This window comes from Homo sapiens, chromosome 7 (assembly GCF_000001405.40).
Source record: "Homo sapiens chromosome 7, GRCh38.p14 Primary Assembly".
NCBI lineage: Eukaryota > Metazoa > Chordata > Mammalia > Primates > Hominidae > Homo > Homo sapiens.
In genome coordinates this window covers 73103656-73129976 of record NC_000007.14, presented here as the reverse complement: position 1 = coordinate 73129976, position 26321 = coordinate 73103656, and the positions used below count along the sequence as shown (strand labels likewise).

Below are 26321 nucleotides of genomic sequence, written 5' to 3'. Positions count from 1 at the left end.
GCTACTTGGGAGCCTGAGGTGGGAGGATTGCTTGAGTTTGAGGCTGCAGTGACCTGTGATTGTACCACTGCACTCTATTCAGCCTGGTTGACGGAGGAAGACTCTGTCTCAACAACAAACAAACAAACAACAAGTGATATTGGAATAACTAGTCGTGCATATGTTTTTTTAAAAAAGAGAGAACCTTGACCACCTCTACCTTACAACTTAACAAAAGTTATTTCAAAATGGATCATAGACCTAAATCCAACCTCAAAATTAAAATACTTCCCGAAGGAAACATAGCAGAAAATCTTTGTGAGCTTAGATTAGGAAAAAAGTTTCTTAGATATAGCTTCTATATCCATGAAGCATAAACAAAAACATATGCTAAACTAGATTTCATAAAAATTAAAAACATCTGATTTTCAAAAGACACTCTTATGAAAATGGAAAAACAAACCACAAACCGGGAAAAAATGTTTGCAAGGCACATAAATGATAAAGGACTTTTATTGAGAATGTAAAGAATCCTCAAAAGTCAGTAGTAAGAAAATAACTAAATTTAAAATGACCAAAAAGTCCAACACAGTGGCTTATGGCTGTAATCCCAGCACTTTGGGAGGCCAAAGCAGGAGGATCGCGTGAGTCCAGAAGTTCAAGACCAGCCCGGGCAACACAGTAAGACCTTGTCTCTACAAAATATATATAGCTGGGTATGGTGGTGTGTTCCTGTGGTCCCAGCTACTCAGGAGGCTGAAGTAGGAGGATCACTTGAGCCTGTGAGGTTGAGGCTGCAGCAAACTGTGATTGTGCCACTGCACTCTAGCCTCAGCAAAAAATAAATAAATAAAAATAATTTTAAATTAAAAAGAAGAAGAAAAAAATTTAAAGTGAACATACAGCCGGGCATGGTGGCCCACGCCTGTAATCCCAGCACTTTGGGTGGCTTAGGCAGGTGGATCACCTGAGGTCAGGAGTTTGAGACCAGCCTGGCCAACATGGTGAAACCCCATCTCTACTAAAAATACAAAAATTAGCCCGGCATGGTGGCTGGTGTCTGTAATCCCACCTACTTGGGAGGCTGAGGCAGAAGAATCACTTGAACCTGGGAGGCAGAAGCTATAGTGAGCCGAGAAGGTGCCACTGCACTCCAGCCTGGGCGACAGAGTGAGACTTGGTCTCAATAAATAAATAAATAAATAAATGTAACATACACTTACCACATGACCCAGCAATCCCATTTTTAGGTGTTTAACCAGGAGAAATGAAAATTTGTATTCAAACAAAAGTCGGTTCACAAATATTTATGGTCAGTTTATTTATAATTGCCCCAAAGTACAAACAAGTCAAATGCACTTCAACTACAGAATGGATAAATTGGTACATCCATACAGTAGACTACTATTCAGCAGTTAAAAAAAAAGCCGTTGAGATACTCAACAACATGAATGAATCTCAAAGGCATTATGCTAAGTGGAAGAAGACAGACTCAAAATGCTATGTGCTCCATGATTACAGGAGATGTGAGGTGGGGGTAAGACTTGACTACAATAGGGCAGTGTGCAATTTTGGGGAATGATGGAACCCTTTTATATCTTGATTGTGATGATGTCTACCTAAAGGTATGCATTCTGCCAGACTCACAAAACTGTACACAAAGACTAGTCAATTTCACTGTATGCAAATTGTAGCTCAATAAACCAGACTGGAAAAGTTGAACCATAAACATTGTATATAACTGGTATCATATTGTATGTATCCTTCTGCAACCTGCTTTTTTTGCTCACTACTAATGACTTTTGAGGTTTATCCAAGTTGATACTACGTAGACTATAATGATATATGTAGCTTTTCTTTCTTTATTTTAACTGCTACAACATATTCCATTATACATTATACTTTGTTTATCCAGTCTCCTGTTGGTGAACATTTACTTTGTTTCTGTTTTTTTCTCTTGTTTTAAACAATGTTGCAATAAACATTCCTGTAAATGTATTCTATAGCACTAGTGCTGGAATCTCTCTGCAAGATATTTACGTAGAATAGTATGTGGAATGGTTGGGATAAGAGGGTGGTGAATATCTCTGTTTTGCTCTCCAAGGGCTTATACCAACTGACACTCTACCAGCATGTGTCAGAATCTCCTTTTTCTACACACCCATCAATAATTGGGATTATCAGACTTTAGCTTTTGCTTAGCTGATAAATGTAAAATGATATATTGTTGCTGCTTTATTTTTACAATTTCTCTGATTGTCATTGTGGTTGAACATCTATTCATGTTTGTGGGTCATTTGGGTTTTCCTTCTGTGAATTGCCTGTTCATATTCTTTGCCTGTTTTTTTTTTTTTTTTTTAATTGTCTTCCCTTCCATTCCCTTCCCCTTCCCCTTCCTCTCCCCCTTCCCCTCCCCTCCCCTTCCCTTCTCTTCTCTTTTTTCCTTCTTCACAGATTGTTGCCCAGGCTGGTGAGCAGTGGCGTGATCTTGGCTCACTGCAACCTTGGCCTCCAAGGTTCAAGTGATTATCCTGCCTCAGCCTCCCAAGCAGCTGGGATTACAAGCGCACACCACCATGCCTGGCTAATTTTTTTTTTTTTTCATTTTTAGTAGAGGCAGGGTTTCATGATGTTGGTCAGGATAATCTCAAACTCCTGACCTCTGCTGATCTGCCCACATCGGCCTCCCAAAGTGCTGGGATTATAGGCATGAGCCACCACACCTGGCCTAGTAACTTTTAAGATTTCCATCCTGAGGTTGGGCGCAGTAGCTCAGGCCTGTAGTCCCAGCACTCCAGGAGGCCGAGGCAGGCTGATCACTTCACTTCGGGAGTTTGAGACCAGCCTGACCAACATGGAGAAACCCTGTCTCTACTAAAAAAATACAAAAAAAAAAAAAAAAAAAAAAAAAAAAAGCCAGGCGTGGTGGTGCATGCCTGTAATCCCAACTACTCGGGAGGCTGAGGCAGGAGAACTACTTGAACCCGGGAGGTGGAGGTTGTAGTGAGCTGAGATGGCGCCATTGCACTCCAGCCTGGGCAACAAGAGTGAAACTCCATCTCCAAAAAAAAAAAAAAAAAAAAAAAAACCACCAACAACAATAAAGATTTCCATCCTGGGCAACATAGCAAGATCCCATCTCTAAAAAAATACAAATATTAGCTAGGCATGGTGGTGCCTGCTTGCAGGCTTGTAGTCCCAGTTACTTGGGAGAATTGCTTGAGCCCAGGAGTTTGAGGCTACAGTGAGCTATGATTGCACCACTGCACTCCAGCCTGGGTGACAGAGTGAGACCCTATCTCAAAAAAAGAAAAAAAAAGAAAAAAAATTCCTCTTTATCCTTGATGTTAAGTGGTTTAATAATGATAGAACCCTATATAGACATATTAATTTATGCTGTTTGTTCTTAGAGTATGTTTTTGATTTGAGGACTTGTATGACTCTTTAGTTCTTTTTTCTTTCTTTTCCTTTTTTTTTTTTTTTTTTTTTTTGAGATGGAGTCTTGCTCTGTCATCCAGTCTGGAGTGCAGTGGCACAATATTGGCTCACTGCAACCTCTGCCTCCCGGGTTCAAGTGATTCTCCTGCCTTAGCCTCCTGAGTAGGTGGGACTACAGGTGCACGCCACCACGCCAGGCTAATTTTTGTATTTTTAGTAGAGACGAGGTTTCACCATATTGGCCAGGCTGGTCTGGAACTCCTGACCTCAGTTGATCCACTTGCTTCAGCCTCCCAAAGTGCTGGGTTTATAGGCATGAGCCAAAACGCCCAGCCTAGTTTTTGAAAATTCTCATTGATTGTCCATCATATATTGCTTCTCTGTGATTTTCTGCTGTTTTTCTAAAACTTCCATTAGCCCTATGTTGCAGTCCCTCCATCTTTCTCCCATTTCTCATAATTGCTCTTTTGTGAATTTCATCTTTGGCTCCTAGTGCTCTTGTGTTGGTCTGGACCCTTCTAGTAACAGAACGGCCATATGAATGGAGGTCCATGCAGGGTTTCTCTCTCTCTCTTTTTAGAGACAAGGTCTTTTCTTTTTTTTCTTGCTTCATTGTCTATGCTGGAGTGCAGTGGTGCAATCTTGGCTCACTGCAACCTCTGCCTCCCAGGTTCAAGCAATTCTCCCGCCTCAGCCTCCCAAGTAGCTGGGATTACAGGTGCATGCCACCACACCCGGCTAATTTTTGTATTTTTAGTAAAGATGGAGTTTCACAATGTTGGCCAGGCTGGTCTCGAACTTCTGACCTCAGGTGATCTGTCTGCCTTAGCCTCCCAAAGTGCTGGGATTACAGGTGTGAGCCACTGCACCTGGCCTAGAGACAGGGTCTTGCTCTGTTGTCCAGGTTGGAGTGCAGTGGTGCAATCCTAGCTCACTGCAACCCCCAACTCCTGACTTCAAGAGATCATTTCTCCTCAGTCTTCAGAGTAGCTGGGACCACAGGTGTGTGCTACCATGCCTGGCTAAGGTTTCTGTCAAAAGTGACATTGAGATCTGAAGGGTGGTGAAATGTCATTTAGGAACAGGGGAAGTTAGGGCTGGGGGAGTCCTCCAGGCAATAGAAACAGGATTTATGAAGATGAGATGGTGCCTGACACAAAGGGCTTGGATGGGTGCAGATTGGAAGCCACCAGAAGGCTCTAGCCCAAGAGAAGACTGGATACATTGGCAGATTCTTCTGGCTGCCTTGTGGAGTAGAGGACAGGAGGAGGTCAAGGGCAGGGGTGGGGAATCCAGCCTGGAAGTGACTGCAGCCTAGCTGAGAGAGCCGTGGTGGCCAGGACCAGTGAGGCAGCAGCGTGGATGGAGAGAGAGGAGGGATGCAGAGATGTTTAGGACATGAGCTGGCCGGTGATGGATAGCATGGGGTAGGCTGGTGGTGGTGAGGGGGTCCAGGGTCCAGCTGCCACTAGGAGGGTGGGTAGGTTTGGGGACAACCCCTTGTCTTTCTGATCCTTGTTCAGGTGAGATCCCCCTGCACAAATTTCACCTGCTGTTTTTTTTTTCCTGAGCCATTTCAGACTGCCTCCTGGGGATGAGGTCTGCATGATTTTATTTCTTTATTTATTTATTTATTTAGACAGAGTCTTGCTCTGTTACCCAGGCTGCAGTGCAGTGGTGTGATCTCGGCTCACTGCAACCTCCGCCTCCTGGGTTCAAGCGATCCTCCTGATTCAGCCTCCTGAGTAGCTGGGATTACAGGCATGCGCCACCACATCTGGTTAATTTTTGTATTTTTAGTAGAGACAGGGTTTCACCATGTTGGCCAGGCTGGTCTTGAACTCCTGGCCTCAAGTGATCCACCTGCCTTGGCCTCCTAAAGTGCTGGGATTATAGGCATGAGCCTCTGTCTACGGAATCTTGTAGCCTACAAAATCTTCTGGCCTCTGTCTGCAGAATCTTGTCTGTACCCCGTGCTAGCCTCTCCTCTGACCCACTGGGAGTGTTAAGTCCATTCTTCTGGACTTTTGCTCCAGCTGTGATGAATACTATGCTTCTACCTCAGTCCTGAGCCTGGACCCAGCTGTGCAAGCCTGGCCAGACCCCTCTCCCAGGGCTGAACACCAATTTCAAGTCTTCAGGTCCTACTGCAATCTAAACAGGCTATCCAGAAGAGAATCCTGCACCAGTCCAAGTGTGAGCAGGCCTGGAGACTCTGCTGCTGAACTGCACCCCCTGATGGCCAGCCTGGATGTCACTTCTATCCTGCTTGAGCCAGGCTCCCCGGATCCCTGGACCACCTCCACTCCAGACCAGACAATGGGGAAGCTGCTGGTCCCACACCATTTCTGAGTTTTCTCCTCTATCCTTCTGCTTAAAGTTCCCTCCAAGGACTTAAGTGCAAGTCATCCCAGAAACCCAGGTAGGGGAGTAGAGAGGCCAGATATGGACAGGAAGGCTGCCAAGAAAGGGGTGTTAGTCAGGCACAATGGCTCAGGTCTGTAAGCCCAGAACTTTGGGAGGCTGAGGCCGGAAGATTGCTTGAACCTAGGAGGACTGCTTGAGACCAGCCTGGGCAACACGGCGAAACCCTATCTCTACAAAAAAACAAAAAAACAAAAAAACCCCACAAAAATTAGCTGGACGTGGTTGTGTGCACCTGTAGTCCCAGCAGAGGGACTCTTGAGGCAGAGGTTGTAGTAAGCCCAGATCGCACCATTGCACTCCAGCCAGAGAGAGAGAGAGAGAGAGAGAGAGAGAGAGAGAGAGAGGGAGAGAGAGAGAGAGAGAGAGAAAGGAAATGGCCAGGCGCAGTGGCTCATGCCTGTAATCCCAGCACTTTGGGAAGCTGAGGTGGGCAGATCACTTGAGGTCAGGAGTTCAAAACCAGCCTGGCCAACATGGGGAAACTCCCTCTCTACTAAAAACATAAAATTAGCCAGGTGTGGTGGCACATGCCTGTAATCCCAGGAGGGTGAGGCAGGAGAATTGCTTGAATCTGGGAGGCGGAGGTTGCAGTGAGCTGAGATCACACCACTGCACTCCAGCTTGGGCGACAAGAGCAAAACTCCATCTAAAAAAACACCAAAAGAATGAAAAAAGAAATGAGTGCTATCAAGGAAGTTACCAGTTACCAGTGTGGGCAATTGAGCTTAAACCTGGTGGGGACCTCTGGGAGGCAGTACAGAATGTGGAAACCCATGGTTGTCCCACCTGTGTGGGGTCATGTGGCTAAGCTGTTTACACACCCATTTTCATCAGTCACTGGCTAAGAGCAGCCCCTGGGGGAGGGGCCTTCATGCATTTGCTTCTGCTCTGCCCTGGCAGGCTCAGAGGCTCAGGCAAGAGCTACAGATGCTCATGACCGAATGTCTCACCTGGGCCAGGAATGGCAGCAGCAAGCACCCTCTCAGCCTAGCCCAGAAGCCAGAGTTCCTATTTCATCAGTTGCAAAGCAGAGACAATGCCATCTGCCCGATAGCAGAGCAAAAGGCAGGTGGGAGCAGGGTCCTCTGAGAGCTGGGGAGGGGCTGGAGTGGCCCTCAGTGCTGTGCACATGTGCCCTAGATACATGGGAATTGGACCTGGATCCCCCCTTTCCCCAAGCTCTGGCCACCGGCTCCTCCTGATGTGATGTTCTTGTTCTAAAAACAGATATGTCACACCTCAAGCAGATTTGCAGTCCCTTGACAGCAGCCTCATCTGGCACATAAAGGACCTCTGCCTCTCTGCATGGCTTCCCAGGGCCCCGGAGAACAGTGAGGCTGCCTTGGCCTCCACCTGCTGCTCCAGAGGGCAGCACAGCCCCGGACTCCATCTCCCCAGCCCCTGTGGGAAGGGGGACGTTCCTGGAGTGGGAGCCCATTTGGTCTTAGAGCTCTGCTAACAGACGGTTGGTACCTCCAAAGGCTGAACTGGGGAACCATTTTATTTTGCTGTCCAGCCTCTTTCTTTTTTTTTTCTTTTTCTTTTTTTTCAGATGGAGTCTCACTCTGTTGCCCGGGCTGGAGTGCAGTGGCGCTATCTCAGCTCACTGCAACCTGTGCCTCCCAGGTTCAAGCGATTCTCCTGCCTCAGCCTCCCGAGTAGCTGGGATTACAGGTGCCTGCCACCACCACACCCAGCTAATTTTTGTATTTTTAGTAGAGACGGGGTTTCACCATATTAGCCAGGATGGTCTCAATCTCTTGACCTCGTGATCTGCCTGTCTTGGCCTCCCAAAGTGTTGAGGTTACAGGCATGAGCCACTGCACTGGGCTACCACCCAGCCACTTGGTTCCTCTGGGTGACAAGATTCAACATGTCCCTGAGGCTAGGGAATTTCTGTCCAGAGCAGGGTGGCCCCATCAGAGCCTCCTACTTCAGGAATCCTGAGGCCCATGGAGCCTGGATACCCTCTCTACTCTTCTCCCAGAAGGTATTTGCCCCAGGCACTTTGCAGACCAACCAGGAAGCATGGCAGAAGGCCAGGAATGGCTGGGGGCTGGTGGGAAGGATCAGGCCCGGCCCAGGCATTGCTGCTCTAGGGTCTCAAGGGTTCCCTGTCACTTTGGCCATTCTTCTGTTGCTAGTGTTCCTGGGCCCCTGGCAGCTGGGATCATTGAGGCCTCCCCACTGGGGGTGCTGGGGCCAGTCCTAGCCAGGGCAGAGAGTGGGTCAGCCGTCTCAGCTCCTTGAGTGGTTGGTGCTGGTACTGGTCTCATGGTTTTAGACCTGGCACCCAGTGGGTATGGGGAGCCCTGGGCACCTGTGGGCCTACTTATGGAAGTCATCCTCTTCCCTTATCAGGTACCGCCAACCCTGTGGTGCAGCTGCTGCCCCAGTTTCCCCTTGTGCTCCAGGTCCCCACTGTGGCAGTTGCTCTTCTCTGAGATCCAGCCAGTGTAGCTGAGTCCCTGGTGTCTTGCTAACTTCCTGCCAGCCCCTGAACCCAGAACTCTCTCTTTCCCTTGGCCACTGGCTAGGAGCCTCTACCACTGAAAAAACTCAGTTTCCTAGCCAGGTGCAGTGGCTCACGCCTGTAACCTCAGCACTTTGGGAGGCTGAGGCAGGAGGATCGCTTGAGAACAGGAGTTTGAGACCAGCCTGGGCAACATAGTGAGACTCCACCTCTAAAAAAAAAAAAAAAAAAAAGCCAGGCATGGTGGTGCATGCCTGTAGTCCCAGCTCCTTGGGGGGATTACTTGAGCCTGGGAGGTTGAGGCTGCAGTGAGCTATGAGGCTTGCCACTGTACTCCAGCCTGGGAGACAGAGTATGACCCTGTCTCAGTAACCAAAACCAAAACCAACCAACCAAACAAAAAAGGAAAAAACCCTCATTTTCCTTCTCTGTTAATATGGGTGATAATGCCCACCCTATAGAGTTGTTGGAAGGCATACTGATAGCATTTTTACACATTTGACACTCCCTGGTAGATAGCAGGTGCTCAGTAAAAAGTGACAATGGGCTGGACACCGTGACTCATGCCTGTAATCCCAGCACTTTGGGAGGCTGAGGCGGGTGGATCACCTGAGGTCAGGAGTTCGAGACCAGCCTGGCCAACATGGTGAAACCCCATCTCTACTAAAAATACAAAAATTAGCTGGGTGTGGTTGTGGGCACCTGTAGCTACACAGGAAGCTGAGGCAGGAGAACAACTTGAACCCAGGAGGTGGAGGTTGCAGTGGGCCACTGCACTCCAGCCTGGGCAACAACAGTGAAACTCTGTCTCAAAAAAAAGTGACAATGATCATTCCTGGTGTTAATAACAGACTTCCTTTTTTTTTTTTTTTGAGACAGAATCTCCCTCTGTTGCCCAGGCTGGAGTGCAGAGACACGATCTTGGCTCACTGCAAGCTCCGCCTCCTGGGTTCACGCCATTCTCCTGCCTCAGCCTCCTGAATAGCTGGGACTACAGGTGCCTGCCACCACGTCCAGCTAATTTTTTGTATTTTTAGTAGAGACAGGGTTTCACCATGTTAGCCAGGATGGTCTCGATCTCCTGACCTTGTGATCTGCCCGCCTCGGCCTCCCAGAGTGCTGGGATTATAGGTGTGAACCACCGCACCCAGCCAATAACAGACTTATCTTTTTGCCTCTCACCTGACTCTGAGAGACTTTTGCTGCCATGATCTCTACATCTGAACTCCTCCCGAGAGCAGAGCTGCCCAGAAGGACCATCTGTGGTGATGGAAATGTTCTATGAATGCACCATCCAATATGCTGGCCACTTGAACACATGTGGTCCTGGCCCTTGTAGGCACTGGAATTGTGAGCAGCGTGACTGAGTATCTTAGTCTACTTGGGCTTCTGTTACAGAAAACCATAGGCTGGGTGGCTTAAACAACATACATTTCTCTCTCACAATTCCAAGATTGAGGAACCAGCAGATTGGTGTCTGGTGAGGGCCCACTTCCTGGTTTGTGGATGGCTGTCTTCTCCCTGTATCCTCACATGATGGGGAGTGATATAGTTTGGCTCTGTGTCCCCTGCTTAAATCTCATGCCGAGACCGGGCACAGTGGCTCACACCTGTAATCCCAGCACTTTGAGAGGCCAAGGCGGGCGGATCACCTGAGGCCAGGAGTTCGAGATTAGCCTGGACCACATGGTGAAACCCTGTCTCCACTAAAAATACAAAATTAGCTGGGTGTGGTGGTGGGCACCTGTAATCCCAGTTACTCGGGAGGCTGAAGCAGGAGAATCGTTTGAACCTGGGAGGCAGAAGTTGCAGTGAGCCCAGATGGCACCACTGCACTCCAGCCTGGGCGACAGAGTGAAACTGTGTCTCAAAAAAAAAAAAAAACAAAAAAAGAAAAAAAAAGAGGTTTCATGTCAAATTGTAATCCCCAGTGTTGGAGGTGGGGCCTGGTAGGAGGTGATTAAATCACGGGGCGGATTTCTCATGAATGGGCTGGCACCATCCCCTCCGTACTGTTTTCATGGTAGAAGGTTATCATGAGCTCTGCTTGTTTAAAAGTGAGTAGCACCTCCCCACCTCTCTCTCATCTTCTTGCTCTGACCATGTGAAATGTGCGTGCTTCCCCTTCACCTTCTGCCATGATTGTAAGTTTCCTAAGACCTCCCCAGAAGCTGAGCAGATGTCAGAATCATGCGTCCTGTACAGCCCATGGAATGTAAGCCAATTAAAACTCTTTTCTTGGCTGGGTGTGGTGGCTTGCACCTGTAATCCCAGCACTTTGGGAGGCCAAGGTGGGTGGATAACCTGAGGTCATGAGTTCGAGACCAGCCTGGGCAACATGGTGAAACCCCGTCTCTACTAAAAATACAAAAATTTGCTGGGCGTGGTGGCAGACGCCTGTAATCCAGCTACTCAGGAGGCTGAGGCAGGAGAATGGCTTGAACCCAGGAGATGGAGGTGGCAGTGAGCCAAGATCGTGCCATTGCACTCTTGCCTGGGTGATGACAGCGAAACTCCATCTCCAAAAACAAAACAAAACAAAACACCCCTCTTTTCTTTATAAATTACCCAGTCTCAGGTTTTTCTTTATAGCAGTGCCAGAATGGACCAAGACAGGGAGAGAGGAAGCAAGCTCTCTGATGACTCTTCTCAAAAGGCTGCTAATCCCATCAAGTGAATTCCACCCTTATAACCTCCTCTCAACGTGATCACCTCCCAAACTTCTCGCCTCCAAATACCAACACATTGGGAGTTAGGAGTTTGACATATGAATTTTGGAGAGTCCACAAACATTCTGCCTGTAACACTAGAAAAGAAATTTTGATTTCATTTTATCTATTTGTTTGAGACAGAGTCTTGCTCTGTTGCCCAGGCTGCAGTGCAGTGGCGTGATCTCGGCTCACTGCAACCTCCACCTCCCAGGTTCAAATGATTCTCCTGACTCAGCCTCCTGAATAGTTGGGACTATGGGCACCCACCACCATGCCTGGCTAATGTTTTTTGTATTTTTAGTAGAGACAAGGTTTCACCATGTTGGCCAGGCTGGTCTCGAACTCCTGACCTCAAGTGATCCTCCCACCTCGGCCTCCCAAAGTGCTGGGATTACAGGGTGAGCCAGCGAACTTGGCCTTCCTTTAATTTTAATCAATTTAAATGTAAAGAGCTGCATGTAGCTAGGAGCTACTGAATTGGACAGCACAGCCTTAAGGAGAGTGGAAATCAGCTGAATCCAGTTGAAACAGGAGTTAAACCAGTTGGAGCCAGCCAACATTGGATGACTTTGGCTGAAACCACCTGAAACTGGTTGAAAGGAGCCACAAACTGTTCACAACCAGCTGAAGCTGAATTAACCTGGCTGAAACTGGATGAAGTCATTTGAAACCAGCTGAAACTGGATCAAACCAGCTGGCAGTGGTTGAAACCAGATGAAATCATTTAAGTAGGGTTTGTCATATTATTTTGCTTCTTGATGAACTAGTCCTGGCTTTTTTTTTTTTTTTTTTTTTTTTGACAGAGAGTCTTGCTGTGTCGCCCAGGCTGGAGTGCAGTGGTGCGATTTCAGCTCACTGCAACCTTCTCCTCCAGGGTTAAAGTGATCTTCCTGCCTCAGCCTCCTGAGCAGCTGGGATTACAGGAGTGCACCACCACTCCCGACTAATTTTTGTATTTTCAGTACAGACAGGGGTTTCACCATGCTGGCCAGGTTGGTCTCGAACTCCTGACCTCAGGTGATCCACCTGTCTTGGCCTCCCAAAGTGCTGGTATTACAGGCATGAGCCCTGGTGCCCAGCAGCATACACATTTAGTTTTATTCTAACAAGGTAGCTTGTACATTTTAAGATATAAAACTGAACATCTTTTTTCCTCTCTGGAGAAACATAAGGAAAACCAAGGAACTTTTTACAACAAACATTTTTAAACATTTACAAAAGTAGACAGAAGAGTACAGTGAACCCCCATGGACCCACTGCCCAGCTTAAATAGCAATCAGGATTTTGCCAATGTGCTCCAAACTGTCCTCCCCTTCCCCTCTTTTTCTTGGCTGGGATGTTTTAAAGCAAATCCTAGATATGTCATAAAAAGAAAATGTAAAAATAAAACAGAACAAAAATTACAATGCAGAATACCATTTCCAAATAAGATCTGGCCAGGCATGGTGGCTCATGCCTGTAATCCCAGCACTTTGGGAGGCTAAGCAGGGGCAGATCACATGAGGTCAGGAGTTCAAGACCAGCCTGGCCAACATGGTGAAACCCTGTCTCTATTAAAAATACAAAAATTAGGCCGGGCGCAGTGGCTCACACCTGTAATCCCAGCACTTTGGGAGGCCGAGGCGGGTGGATCAAGAGGTCAGGAGATTGAGACCATCCTGGCTAACATGGTGAAACCCCGTCTCTACTAAAAATACAAAAAATTAGCCGGGCGTGGTGGCGGGCGCCTGTAGTCCCAGCTACTCGGGAGGCTGAGGCAGGAGAATGGCATGAACCCGGGAGGCGGAGCTTGCAGTGAGCTGAGATCGTGCCACTGCACTCCAGCCTGGGCGACAGAGCAAGACTCAATCTTAAAAAACAACAACAACAAAAAAAAAAACCCAAAAATTAGTCGAGAATGGTGGCATGCCCTGTACTCTCAGCTACTTGGGAGGCTGAGGCACGAGAATCACTTGAACCTGGGAGGTGGAGGTTATAGTGAGACGAGATTGCACCACTGCACTCCAGCCTGGGCAACACAGCGAGACTCTGTCTCAAAAAAAAAAAAAAAACAAATCTGTTAGGCTGAGGCTGGGTGCAGTGGCTCATGCCTGTAATTGCAGCACTTTGGGAGGCTGAAGCGGGAGGAATGCTTGAGCCCAGGAGCTTGAGATCAGCCTGGGCAACGTAGCAAGATCCCCCAACTCTACAAAAATATAGAAGCCAGGCATGGTGGTACATGCCTGTGGTCCCAGCTACTTGGAAGGCTGAAGCAGGAGGATCATGTGAGCCCAGAAGCTTGAAACCAGCCTGGGCAGTATCAGAGACCCCATCTCTACAAAAAAATTTTAAAATTTAGCCTGGCATGGTGATGTGCACCTATGGTTCCAGCTACTTGGGAGGCTGAGACTGGAGGATCATTTGAGCCCAGGAGTTTAAGGCTGCAGTGAGCTATGATGGCACCACTCAACTCCAGCCTGGCTGAGCAACAGAGGAGACTCTGTCTCTAAGAAATAAATAAATAACAAAAACTAGGTGTAGTGTGTAGTGGGTCATGCCTATAATTCCAGCACTTTGGGAGGCTGAGGTGGGAGGCTAGATTGAGCCTAGGAGTTTAAGACTAGCCTGGGCAACATGGCAAAACTCGTCCCTAAAAAAAATAACAAAATTTAGCCAGGCATGGCAGTGCACACCTATGATCCCAGCTACTTGGGAGGCTGAGGCAGGAGGATCATCTGAGCCCAGGAGTTCGAGGCTGCAGTGAGCTGTGATTGTGCCACCACACTCCAGCCTGGGTGAAAGGGCAAAACCCTGCCTCAAAACAAACAAATATACAACAACAACACAACAACACAAACCCTCAAACAAGATCCTTTACGTTCTTCAGTTTCTCCATCAAGCAGCAGGGCCCCAGGTAGCATTAGAAGTGGATTTTCTTTCTTTTTTCTTTTTTTTTTTTTGAGACAGAGTCTCGCTCTGTCGCCCAGGCTGAAGTGCAGTGGCATGACCTTGGCTCACTGCAAGCTCCGCCTCCTGGGTTCATGCCATTCTTCTGCCTCAGCCTCCCCAGTAGCGGGGACTTCAGGTGCCCACCACTATGCCTGGCTAATTTTTTTTAATTATTATTTTAGTAGAGATGGGGTTTCACCGTGTTAGCCAGGATGGTCTCGATCTGCTGATCTTGATCTCGTGATCTGCCTACCTCAGCCTCCCAGAGTGCTGGGATTACAGGCGTCAGCCACCGCACCTGACCAGGAGTGGATTTTATATCTAAAGCTACAGTTTAAACCACAAGGGCATCTGCTAAATACCACCCAAGGAGAAGCTAAGTTGTCAAAATGCCCACTCAACCCTCCCAAACATCGCAAACCCACCCTTTTCTGATCTCTACTCCAACGTCTTTTGTTTTTGTTCTGTCTTACACCAGGAGAAGAGAGAGATTCGTGTTGACAAGTCCTTGTTGTCCAGACTCACACGGATACAGCTGTGGGGAAGGAAGGAAGGCTGCAATGCTGCTGTTTCCATGAACATGCCTGGCACCCTCCAGGTGTCAGCAGGGCCAGGGGAGTGGAGAACTGGTCTCCCTCTCCGCTCCTCTACAGAACACAGTAGTGTGAGGATTCTGTACAGGTTTTGTTGGGAAAGAAAGGAGTAAAAAGGGACTTGGGACGGAAAATGTTTCCTCCTTTTCAAATAAATTGTGCATCAGGATGTAGAGAGAGTGGAAGAGGGAGTTCAGAGGCACCAGGTGACCAAACGTAAGAGAAAAGAACAGTCCAGGTGTGGTGGCTCACACCTGTAATCCCAGCACTTTAGGAGGCTGAGGCGGGTGGTTCATCTGAGGTCAGGAGTTCAAGACCAGCTTGGTCAACATGGTGAAACCCCATCTCTACAAAAATACAGAAATTAGTCATACGTGGTGGTGGGTGCCTGTAATCCCAGCTACTCGGGAGGCTGAGGTGGGGGAATCGCTTGAACCCGGGAGGCGGAGGTTGCAGTGAGCCCAGTGCACTCCAGCCTGGATGACAGAGCGAGACTCCGTCTCAAAAAAAAAAAAAAAAAAAAAATCAGATGACCCGCTGTGGAGCTGACTCTGTTCCCAAACCAGGATTTTCATCAAGCTAAAAATCTAGGCTGGGCTGGGTGGCTCCAACCTGTAACCCCAGCACTTTGGGAGGCCGAGGTGGGCAGACTGTTTGAGCTTGGGAGTTCAAGACCATCCTGGACGACAGGGTGAAACATCGTCTCTACCAAAAATACAAAAAATTAGACACCCGTGGTGGCGTGCGCCAATAGTCCCAGATACTTGGGAGGCTGAGATCAGAGAATCGCTCGAACCCGGGAGGCGGAGGTTGCAGTGAGCCGAGATCATGCCACTGTACTCTAGCCTGGGTGACAGAGTGAGACTCTGTTTCCAAAAAAAAAAAAAAAAAAATAGGGCTTAAATCGGGAGAGTGACATGATCTGATTTACACTTGCAAAAAGATCAGTGTCATGAATACTCGGTGTTGGCAGAGATTTGAAACAAAGTATTCTCTCATATGTGCTGGTGGGAATGCAAGGTGTACAAACACCAAGGAAACCCCAGCACCAGCAATGGACTCAGCCACACCCCATGACCCAGCAGCTCCGCTCCTGGTGACTGTTCTAGAGAGGTGTGTGTGCAGGAACGTTCATCACAATGTTCACAGTGGTGCTGGAAGGACCCAAGTGTCCACCAGCAGGAGAAATGAACAAATGCACTGCGGCATATTCTTTTTTTTTCTTTTTCTTTCTTTTGAGACAGAGTCTCACTCTGTCACCCAGGCTGGAGTGCGATGGCGCGATCTCGGCTCACTGCAACCTCCGCCTCCTGGATTCAAGCGATTCTCTCACCTCAGCCTCCCGAGTAGCTGAGACTACAGGTGCGTGCCACCACACCCAGCTATTTTTTTTTTTTTTTGAGACGGAGTCTCACTCTTATAGCCCAGGCTACAGTGCAAATGGTATGATCTTGGCTCACTGCAAGTGCCGCCTCCTGGGTTCACGCCATTCTCCTGCCTCAGCCTCCTGAGTAGCTGGGAATACAGGTGCCCGCAACCATGCCTGGCTACTTTTTGTATTTTTAGCAGAGATGGGGTGTTAGCCAGGATGGTCTCGATCTCCTGATCTCGTGATCCACCCTCCTTGGCCTCCCAAAGTGCTGGGATTACAGGCATGAGCCATGGCACCTGGCCCCGTCTAATTTTTTGTATTTTTAGTAGAGATGCGGTTTCACCATGTTGGCCAGGCTGCTCTTAAACTCCTGACCTCAAGCGATCCACCTGCTATGGCCTCCCAAAGCGCTGGGATTACAGGCGTGAGCCACTGTGCCTGGCCGGAACCCACAGGTTCTTTGGATGGTCTCTGAATGTCATGAAACTCTTTTATATTTAATTAAAAAAATTTTTTTGACACAAGGTCTTGCTGTGTTGCCCAGACTGGAGTGCGGTGTCACGATCACAGCTCACTGCAGCCCCTAACTCCTAGGCTCAAGCAATCCTCCTGCCACCTCAGTCTCTCAAGTTGTTGGAACACAGGTGCCAGCCACGACACCTGGCTAATTTTGTTTTGTTTTGTTTTGTTTTGTTTTAGAGATGGGCTCTTGCTATGTTGCCTATACTGGTCTTGAACTGCTGGCCTCAGGCAGTCTTCCTCCCTTGGCCACCCAAAGAGATGGGATTACAAGCATGAGCCACTGTGCACAGCTGAGATTTTTCGACTTAGTCTTTTTGTACACCCAGTATCTTATAGAATATCCATAATATAGATTCATAAATAAACCATTTCCTTCAATGGTATAAATAAATAAACCACTGCTATAAATGGTGGAATTTTCTGAGTTAAGAGCAATACATATGATACAAAACTTGATATATAGAGTTTCTTAGCCAAACTGGAGGGGCTGGCTTTAGGTGATCCGTGGACTCCCTGAAATTGGGGACACCATTGGAAATATGTGTGAACTCATGGGCAGTTTCCTATGATTTCCAGTCCTCAAAATATCTCTTGGACTCAAAGATGCCTTAGGGCAGAGGACGCGTGTACCCCCAGTACAGAATCTCGGACAGTGAATGTCAGTAGACACTCGGCAGAAAACCTCTGCCAAATTGAGTGCTCTGATGTGACTTTTTCATCAAGTCAATGTTCCTGGGATCTCTTGTACATGGTAATCTCACTCTTGTAAGGTTTCATCGTTTCTGCTTACCCTACTTTTCTTTCCCATCCTGATCCCTCTCCCACCAGACTGGACTCTGAAACGGGCATGTACAGAGAAGAGGAGACCCCAACACGCTTCAAGCTTTGAGTGGAGAGGACACAGCCTCTGCTGGGACAGGGAACAGAGGGATGCGGAGACCCTGAAGATGCTTTTGGACAGTGGTCTGAGGTTGGGACAGTGGCAGGAGATACCATTCACCCAGGATCTCCAGGACAAGAGATCAGCCTGGCAGTTACATGTGTTTTTTTTCAAACTGGTTGCCAGGTTGGCATGAGCGATGACATCAGAGATTCCGACCTTCCTGATTGGAGGGACCGGACTCTGTCGGCACCTGGGAGTTCAGTTGGACAACAGTAACTTCTCAGAGCTGTTCTCCACTCCTGACTTCTCCCAGCCTCGAGAATTGATAACACACTCTTCTGGATCCCAGCAGTGTCCAGAAGAAGACCAAGGACAGAACAGAGACTAGGTTTGGTGAGATGGGACAGATTTTGGGAAAGATCATGATGAGCCATCAACCGCAGCCCCAGGAAGAGCGGAGCCCCCAGCGGAGCACCTCAGGGTACCCCCTCCAGGAGGTGGTGGATGATGAAGTGTCGGGACCATCAGGTGAGGGGACTGGAGGAAGAAGAGGTGGCATAGGATTGACTAAGATGAAGGAAGGGGGCCAGGCGTGGTGGCTCACCCCTGTAACCCCAACACTTTGGGAGGCTGAGGCGGGCAGATCACCTGAGGTCAGGAGTTCAAGACCAGCCTGGCCAACATGGTGAAACCCCATCTCTACTAAAAGTACAAAAATTAGCCAGGTGGTAGTGGTGTGTGCCTATAATCCCAGCTACTTGGGAGGCTAAGACAGGAGAATCACTTGAGCCTGGGAGGAAGAGGTTGCAGTGAGCCGAGATCGTGCTACTGCACTCCAGTCTGGGTGACAGAGTGAGATGCTATCTCAAAAAAAAAAAAAAAAAAAAAAAAAAAAAGAAGGGTCAGAGGTCAGGAAGGAGAACCTGGGGAGGGTGTGTGGGAAGAATGGAGAAATTCAGGCTGGGTGCAGTGGCTCACACTTGTAATCCCAGCACTTTGGGAAGCCAAGGCAGGCGGATCACTTGAGGCCAGGGGTTTGAGACCAGCCTGGCCAACATGGTGAAACCCTGTCTCTATTAAAAGTACAAAATGGAGCTGGGCATTATGGCAGGCACCTGTAATCCCAGCTACCTGAGAGGCTGAGGCAGGAGAATAACTGGAATCCGGGAGATGCATGTTGCAGTGAGCTGAGATTGCACCACTACACTCCAGCCTGGGTGACAAAGCAAGATTCTGTCTCGAAACAAAAAAAAAAAAAAAAAAGAGGGACTCAGAGAGCCAGGGACCAGGGAAGGATATGAGGCAGTGTTCTGAGGACAGAGAGAGGGAAGAATGGGGAGGGGAAGGAGTGGCACATGGGGTTGAGCAGAGGAGAAAGTCAGAAAGGTGGCTTGGAGAAGCCAGCAGTCTGCGAGGCTGGGGAGGATGGAGAGTGGTTTGGGGTTTGGGGTCGGGGTCTAACGTGATCAGTTGCAGAAGCATTACACGGTGGCCTGGTTTCTTTACTCAGCCCCTGGGGTAGATCCCAGCCCCCCACGTAGGTCCCTTGGCTGGAAAAGGAAGAGAGAATGTTTGGATGAATCTGATGATGAGCCAGAGAAGGAGCTCGCCCCTGAGCCTGAGGAGACCTGGGTGGCGGAGACGCTGTGTGGCCTCAAGATGAAGGCGAAGCGACGGCGAGTGTCGCTCGTGCTCCCTGAGTACTACGAGGCCTTCAACAGGCTGCTTGGTAGGAGGACACCCCAGAGAGCACCTCCAATCCTGTTCTTTCTAAAGAGGAAACTTCCAATAACCACACTTTTCCAATGGGAAAAATATGCCCCAGTGGGTGAGCTCTCCATGCGGGAGGACTCTGAAGTGATCACTCATGAGGGACACTTAAGGAGACAACAGAGGATTAGGTAGACTTGATAAAGGTCGGTGCTTGGGATAAGAAAGCTTGGTTTTGGGCCAGGCGCTGTGGCTCCCGCCTGAGATCCCAGCACGTTGGGAGGCTGAGGCAAGAGGATTGCTTGAACTCAGGACTTTGAGGCTGCAGTGAGCTATGACTGCACCACTGCACTCCAGCCTGGGTGACAGAGCAAAACTCTGCGTCAAAAGAAAAACCAAGGCTGGGCACAGTAGCTCATCCCTGTAGTTCCAGCTACTCGGGAGGCTGAGACAGGAGAACTGCTTAAACCCAGGAGGCAGAGGTTGCAGTGAGCCAAGATCAGGCCAATGCATTCCAGCCTGGCCCACAGAGCAAGACTCTGTCTCAAAATAAATTAATAAATAAATAAAAATAAAAATCAAATAAAGAAAAACAAAATCAAAAATCAAAAAAGTGGTTTCAGCTGTGCCCTCTGAAACTTAATGTTTCTTACTGACTTTTCTAAACCTAAGTGTCTCCATCCATAGTGAGGGATCCCAAGGCCATGGTCACACCCTGATGTGTGACTGTCTCATGAGGAAATGATGGGAATTCCTTTATGACTCTGCAGTGGTCCCTCCGTGTCTGCTGGAGGGGGTCCTGGCTGATTCCCAGCTCTACATCCTGTAGATTCTCACACCCAGGGCCTCCTTCGGCCTCTTCTCAGGGGAGTCTCAGAGCAGGAGCCTCTCTCCCTTGCCCAGTGAAAGTCATTCTCCCCTCTCTCATCCACCTCACCCGCGGCCACAATCCTGAGACTTTCCCCCGGGAGGCACACTTCTCCTCGCTGCCCTGCTGCTCTCACGGAAACCCTGTCCTGCTTCTCACACTGACATCTGCTCTCTAATCACAGAGGATCCTGTCATTAAAAGACTCCTGGCCTGGGACAAAGATCTGAGGGTGTCGGACAAGGTAAGGTTGTTCTCTATGTAACTGTGTTCCTGTTCTAACGCACGGCCAGGGGGAGGGCGCAGCTTCCAAACCCACAGTTCTCCGTCCACCACCTCCCACCAGATGCTCCTACAGTTTTTTTTTGTTTTTGTTTTTGTTTTTTTTTGTGAGACACAGTCTTGCTCTGCTGCCCAGGCTGGAGGGCAGTGTCTCGATCTTGACTCACTGCAGCTGATGCCTCCTGGGTTCAAGCGATTCTCCCACCTCAGCCTCCAAGCAGCTGGGATTACAAACATGAACCACCACGCCTGGCTAATTTTTGTGTTTTTAGTAGAGACGGGGTTTTGCCATGTTGGCCAGATTGGTCCCGAACACCTGACCTCAGGTGATCCACCCGCCTTGGCCTCCCAAAGTGCTGAGATTACAGACGTCAGCACTGTGTCTGACCAGCTCCCATGGTCTTGAGTCTTGGCACCCACACATTTTTTTTTCTGAGACAGAGTCCAGCTCTGCTCCCCAGGATGGAGTACAGTGGCATGATCATAGCTCACTCTAATTCCTGGGCTCAAGCAATCCTCTTTCCTTAGCCTCCTGAGGAGCTGGGACTAGGCACATGCTACCATGCTCAACTAATTTTTGAAATCTTCTTAGAAACAGGGTCTCGCTGTGTTGCCCAGGTTGTTCTCCAACTGTTGGGCTCACATGATCCTCCTGTCTCCACCTCTCAAAAAGTACTGGGATCACAGGCTTGAGCTGCCACTCCCGGCTATTCTTTGTCTTTTTATGATTTGTCAGCATCTCCGTCAGGATTCTGCTGGTCTCTTGCAGAGTGAATGAGTGGCCCCTGCCTCTCCTATGGGTCCTTTGGGATCTGAGCCCTGGGCCACAGTCTGGCTGCAGCCCTGAAGCTCCTGGGCCCTCTACTCTCAGCTCCTTGGGACAGTTCTCTGCCTGGCACACAAAAGACCCTCCTGACACCAGCCGACCTAGACACACCCCCTCCAAAGATCCCATCGGAGCCCACCATCCTGGGAGCATCACCAAAAACCCTTCCTCCGGCTTCTCGGATTTGCATCCGACCTTCGAATACCCCTCCACCCCGCAATTTCCACATGAGCACAGTCACCCCAACACTGAGGTCCCTTCTCTGATGGGCAACCCCTCCCCAGACCCCCATTCCACTATATCCACAATCTTCCTCTCCCAAGATGTGACCTCTCCCTCTCTGTGTTCCTTTCTCTCCATCAGTATCTCCTGGCTATGGTCATAGCGTATTTCAGCCGGGCCGGCCTCCCCTCCTGGCAATACCAACGCATTCATTTCTTCCTGGCTCTGTGAGTGGTTTGCTGCCTCCTATCCATCAATATCCAATGCCCTGGGACAGCGGGGGAAGTGGGATTCCAGCCTTTCATTTATTCTTTCACCTATTTGTCCTCTTTACTCTGTGTACAAAAAAGACAGGATTATAGTCTCAAAAAAAAAAAAAAAAAAGAACAAAAAACAAAAGGAACCATGAACCGCTCCTAAGGGGAGAAGAAAAGGAGCGGAGGAGCGGACATGACACTTCCCCCAGCAAGCAGACGTTTCCGGTTGTTCTCTCTCCTTCCCACATCAACCGCAAAAGCCATCAGCCTCCTCCGGGTTCCCGTGACAGAGGTCACAGTCCAGGTCCCCCTTGCATCACTCGAATCCACTGTCAAATGCTCCCTGCTGGGGTTTCCTGGAGTCTCTCCCCAAGCCAGGGGGCTTCCTAGTGCAGCCTGAACATCTTTCCAAAGCACGACAACCTCACTGCCCACCTGAACAACTTCCTTAGCTGATGTCTTTCTCTATCGAGGCCAGGGTCCACAGTGCCAATTCCACCCTCTCTACAATCTCTACAACCACACTGGCTCGCCATCTTGGTGTTTCCTGGCTTGGCTTCACTGCTCCTTCCAAATGCCCTCCACTTGACTTTGCATTTGTGTTTTCTGTCTGGGTGTCCCACACACATGTGGTTCTGAAGGGAAGGACCCATTCCTTGAAGTCGGTTCACCCCACAGCCTCTGTGATGCCTTCCCTCGTCTTCCAACTTCTGCATGCCCGTAGCTCTCCAGTTACATCCTATTATAATGTGACATTGGGATTAGGTCATCTCCCCTGATTACTCCCAGTCCCATTAGACTAGATGCCTGTAGAAGGCAGGGTCCTGGCAAAATATCAGTGTATTCAATTGCTTTTTTTTTTTTTTTTGAGACAGACTTGCCCTGTCCCCTAAGCTGGAGTGCAGTGGTGAGATCATAGCTCACCGCAGCCTCCATATCCTGGGCTCAAGCGATCCTCCCACCTCAGCCTCTTGATTAGCTCCGACTACAGGGCTGTACCACCACACCTGGACAGTTATTTATTTATTTATTTATTTATCAAGACAAGAGTGTTGCTGTGTCTCTCAGGCTGGAATGGAGGGGCCCAATCTTGGCTCACTGCAACCTCCGCCTCCTGGGTTCACACAATTCTTATGCTTCAGCCTCCTGAGTAGCTAGGACTAATGGGTGTGCCACCGCACCAGGCTGATTTTTGTATTTTTAGTATAGATGGGGTTTCTCTGTGTTGACCAGGCTGGTCTCAAACTCCTGGTCTCAAGCAATCCACCTGCTTCAGCCTTCCAAAGCGCTGGGATTACAGGCATGAGCCACCACGTCTGGCGTATTTTTTATATTTTTAATAGAGACGAGGGTCTTGCTATGTTGCCCAGGCCTGTCTCAAACTCCTGGCCTCAAGTGATCCTCCTGCTTCGGCCTCCCAGTGTGCTGGGATTCCAGGCATAAGCCACCACTCTTGGTCACCAGTTGGGTTTTTGTCTCCATCCTGAAGGAGTGGGAGACGCCCTTGATCAGGTCTCTGTCCAGCAGAGCCCTCCTGAGGAAGGCGTGGCTCTCTGCAGGGTGGGTGCCAGTCCTGAGCTAGGGACGGTCCCTTACCTTCCTCTCTGAGAAGCTGACCTCAGCCGGAGGTCTCTCCTGGTGGTGCCCCTGAGCAGCAACCTGATTTCTGTCCTCAGCTATCTGGCCAATGACATGGAGGAGGACGACGAGGCCCCCAAACAAAACATCTTCTACTTCCTGTACGAGGAGACCCGCTCTCATATACCCTTGCTCAGTGAGCTTTGGTTCCAGTTATGCCGTTACATGAACCCGAGGGCCAGGAAGAACTGCTCTCAGATAGCCTTGTTCCGGAAGTATCGGTTCCACTTCTTTTGTTCCATGCGCTGCAGGGCTTGGGTTTCCCTGGAGGAGTTGGAAGAGGTGGGTGGGGCCTGGGGACGTGGAGGATGTGGGGAGGAATCGGGTGGGCTGGAGGCTGGACGAGGGGAGAGAGGGGTATCCTGGGGAGTCCCCGTCTTCTCAAAGCGCGTTTGTTTTTCCAGATCCAGGCTTATGACCCAGAGCACTGGGTGTGGGCGCGAGATCGCGCCCACCTTTCCTAGAGCTCCAGGGACCGTGGAGGCCTGAGGTCATCGGCCTGAGAGAAGGTACATCTGCATCCTCCGGGGTAAAGGCAGAATATTGGGGTCTATTTCGGAAATCCAAGGAACCCAATTGCTTGATCTGGCTTCAAGCCTGGGCAACGTGGCGAGATCCCCTCTCCACAAAAATACAAAAATTAGCCAGGCGATGTGGGAGGCATCTCTACTCCCAACTACTCAGGAGGCTGAGGCGGGAGGATCGCTGGAGCCTGGGAGGTCGGGGCTGCAGGGAGCCCTGATCCTGCCACTGCACTCCAGCCCGGGCGACAGAGTGAGACCCTGCCTCAAAAATAATCATAAATACTGAGTTCGGGGAGGTTCATTATGATTGATGCACTTGAGTTACCGATTTGGGTCGAGGGTTCAGTGAAGCTTTGGTTTACATCTTGTGCAGCTAACCATGTTGAGCACAGAGCATGAGACTTCGTCATGAGGAGGGAGGATTATGGATTAGGCTTCTGGACTCGTGGTTCGTGATGTTGTCACGTTAGAAACAGATCTAGCACGGTTACAAGTTTAGATCTGAAGTGACACAAAAGGCCCCAGCTGTGATGAAGTCCAAAGCCACATTCTCTGAGGGTGCCCTACTCCCTGGGAAGACCCACCCAAAGTCCTGGCTATGAAGCAGATCACTGGGGCTGACCTTGGGTGTATTAAGTTTTGGAGTCAGGGTCACCAAAGTGTGAGTTTCACAGTTGAACACGATGGTTCAGAAGCAGGGTATAGAATGAAAGGCAGGAGATAAAATTGCACTTCTCAATTGCTCTGAACTCTAGCTAGACTTGACATGGGACGTGAATAACCTTCCTGTCTAGAGAGCTGCCTCCTTGAAGTGTGACATTGTCTCTCTCACTTCCAGAACACCGGACCCAGGGGAGATGTGGATTTTCAGCAGGAACTTTATTCCAATGCTAATGGCAGACATCAGGAAGGAGGAGAGGAACCATTTGTGCAGATCATCTAGAAGAACCTGGACCATTCTTGACAGAGCTGAATACAGTGATCACGTTGTCCTCCAAGGAGCAGGGGTGGGGTGGGGTACTTCTAGGAGTCCTTGGAGAAAAGTAAGAAACCAGGAGTGTTTCCAGTTCCACCCTTTCCTGCGGCACCACCTCCCTTTTTATATTGCTGAATGCCAACCTCCCTGGGGCGGAACCTGGAGGTCCTGTTTCTTATGGACTTGGTTGCCACAGTCCAGGAGCATTTGAAGGCACAGTGCAGGGGCTCAGATTGGCACAGAATTCTTTGTGAAATATGAGTGCCACAGACTGTAACAGATAGCTTCATGCACACTATGCATTTTATTGGTTTGTTTGGAAAATGTTGGCCATTGAATTATTAATAGGTTTATTTCAAATAGTTTGGAAATTGTTGTACTTTTGAAAACATGCTGTTCCTGTAGAGTTTTTTGATGAGAGTTATAGTTGTTATATATACCTAAAGATAATTTTCTTTTCATTTTTAAGTGAGAATTCTTTTTATCCTAAATCTTTTATTATCTTTAAATTTTTTTCTGTATTATTATATGTGCTCCTGAAGCGAGCACTCTTTTTATCTATGATACTTCCATAATAATCTCTTCTATTTATAGCTATTGGTAGTTCCCCACCAGAAAAAAACATAATTCTGGTGATAGAAATTTTTATTTGCTGTTTAGGTTTGTGACTGACTTGTGAGAATTCAGTTGTGATTTTTAACATGTCTCAGATATATATACTAACACGTCTAATATATACTATCTATTTTATTGGTTTATTTTGAAAAACATGGGTATAGAATTATTTAAATATTTTATTTACTGAAATATTTATTAAATATATTTATTTATTTAAATATTATTATTACTTTAAATATTATTTTAAATATTTTGGAAATACTGGTATTTTTGAATAGATGCTGTTTCTATAAAGCTGTGTGATGGGTATTATAACTGTTGTATACACATACATATAATTTTGTTTTCCTTTTTAAGAGAGGATTCTTTTCATCCTAAATCTTTTACCTTTCAATCTTTGTATCTATTATTACACGTGCTGCTGAAGGGAGCATGGTTTTTATCTATGATACTTAGTTAACATATATATTACATTTATAGCTATGTGGTAGTTCCCCTAAATTCTTGTAAAAATAAATTTTTATTTGATATTTAGTGTATGTTTGAAATGTGAGAATTCAGATGGAATTTTTTATCTTGTTTTGGCATGTTTGTATGTTACTTTAAAGAGGATGTGTGTTCTAAAGGAGGACATGAGCTGTGTGTTTTCAAGAGAACAGTGCAGTGCATCTCTTGGGGAAACATAATAAAGATGAACTTTTCTCACCTTCACAGTGAGTGTGATCATATTGTGGTCTGGATTGATTATTTGCTGTCAAGTGACATTTTTCCTTAATGGGGTTGTGGTTATTTGAACATATTTGTTAGCTTTGGAAGATAATCCTGTGCTGTTTTTTATGTAGAAAAAAACATACGGCTGGGTGCAGTGCTCACACCTACAATCCCAGCAGTTTTGGAGGTCATGGCGGGAGGATCACTTGAAGCCTATTTTTAATTTTTATTTTTTAAAGAAAAACAACAGAAGAGAAGGCTGATCCCAAGCTACAGGGTTTTTTTGTTTGTTTGTTTGTTTGTTTGTTTTGGAGACAGTCTCGCTCTGTCTCCCAGGCTGGAGTGCAGTGGCACAACCTCGGCT

At 48.1% G+C, this 26321-nt stretch overlaps 1 protein-coding gene across 3 annotated transcripts in view; it reads left to right on the top strand.

Annotated features, from left to right (window-relative positions):
• The window catches only part of SPDYE10 (speedy/RINGO cell cycle regulator family member E10), a 51424-nt gene extending 25455 nt beyond the window's left edge, over positions 1-25969 (top strand). The window contains exons 2-9 of one of the 3 annotated variants that reach the window (NM_001382505.2): positions 14435-14620; positions 17272-17854; positions 18837-19055; positions 20089-20147; positions 21375-21460; positions 23167-23410; positions 23533-23637; positions 24491-25969. In NM_001382505.2, the coding sequence (NP_001369434.1) occupies positions 17725-17854; positions 18837-19055; positions 20089-20147; positions 21375-21460; positions 23167-23410; positions 23533-23592 (798 nt within the window). In that variant the 5' untranslated portion in view covers positions 14435-14620; positions 17272-17724 and the 3' untranslated portion in view covers positions 23593-23637; positions 24491-25969. Of the gene's footprint in view, positions 1-14138; positions 14621-17271; positions 17855-18836; positions 19056-20088; positions 20148-21374; positions 21461-23166; positions 23411-23532 lie in introns of those variants that run through there. The other 2 variants (NM_001382504.2, XM_047420707.1) reach the window with 2 other exon arrangements.
• The last annotated feature ends 352 nt before the right edge of the window (positions 25970-26321 follow it).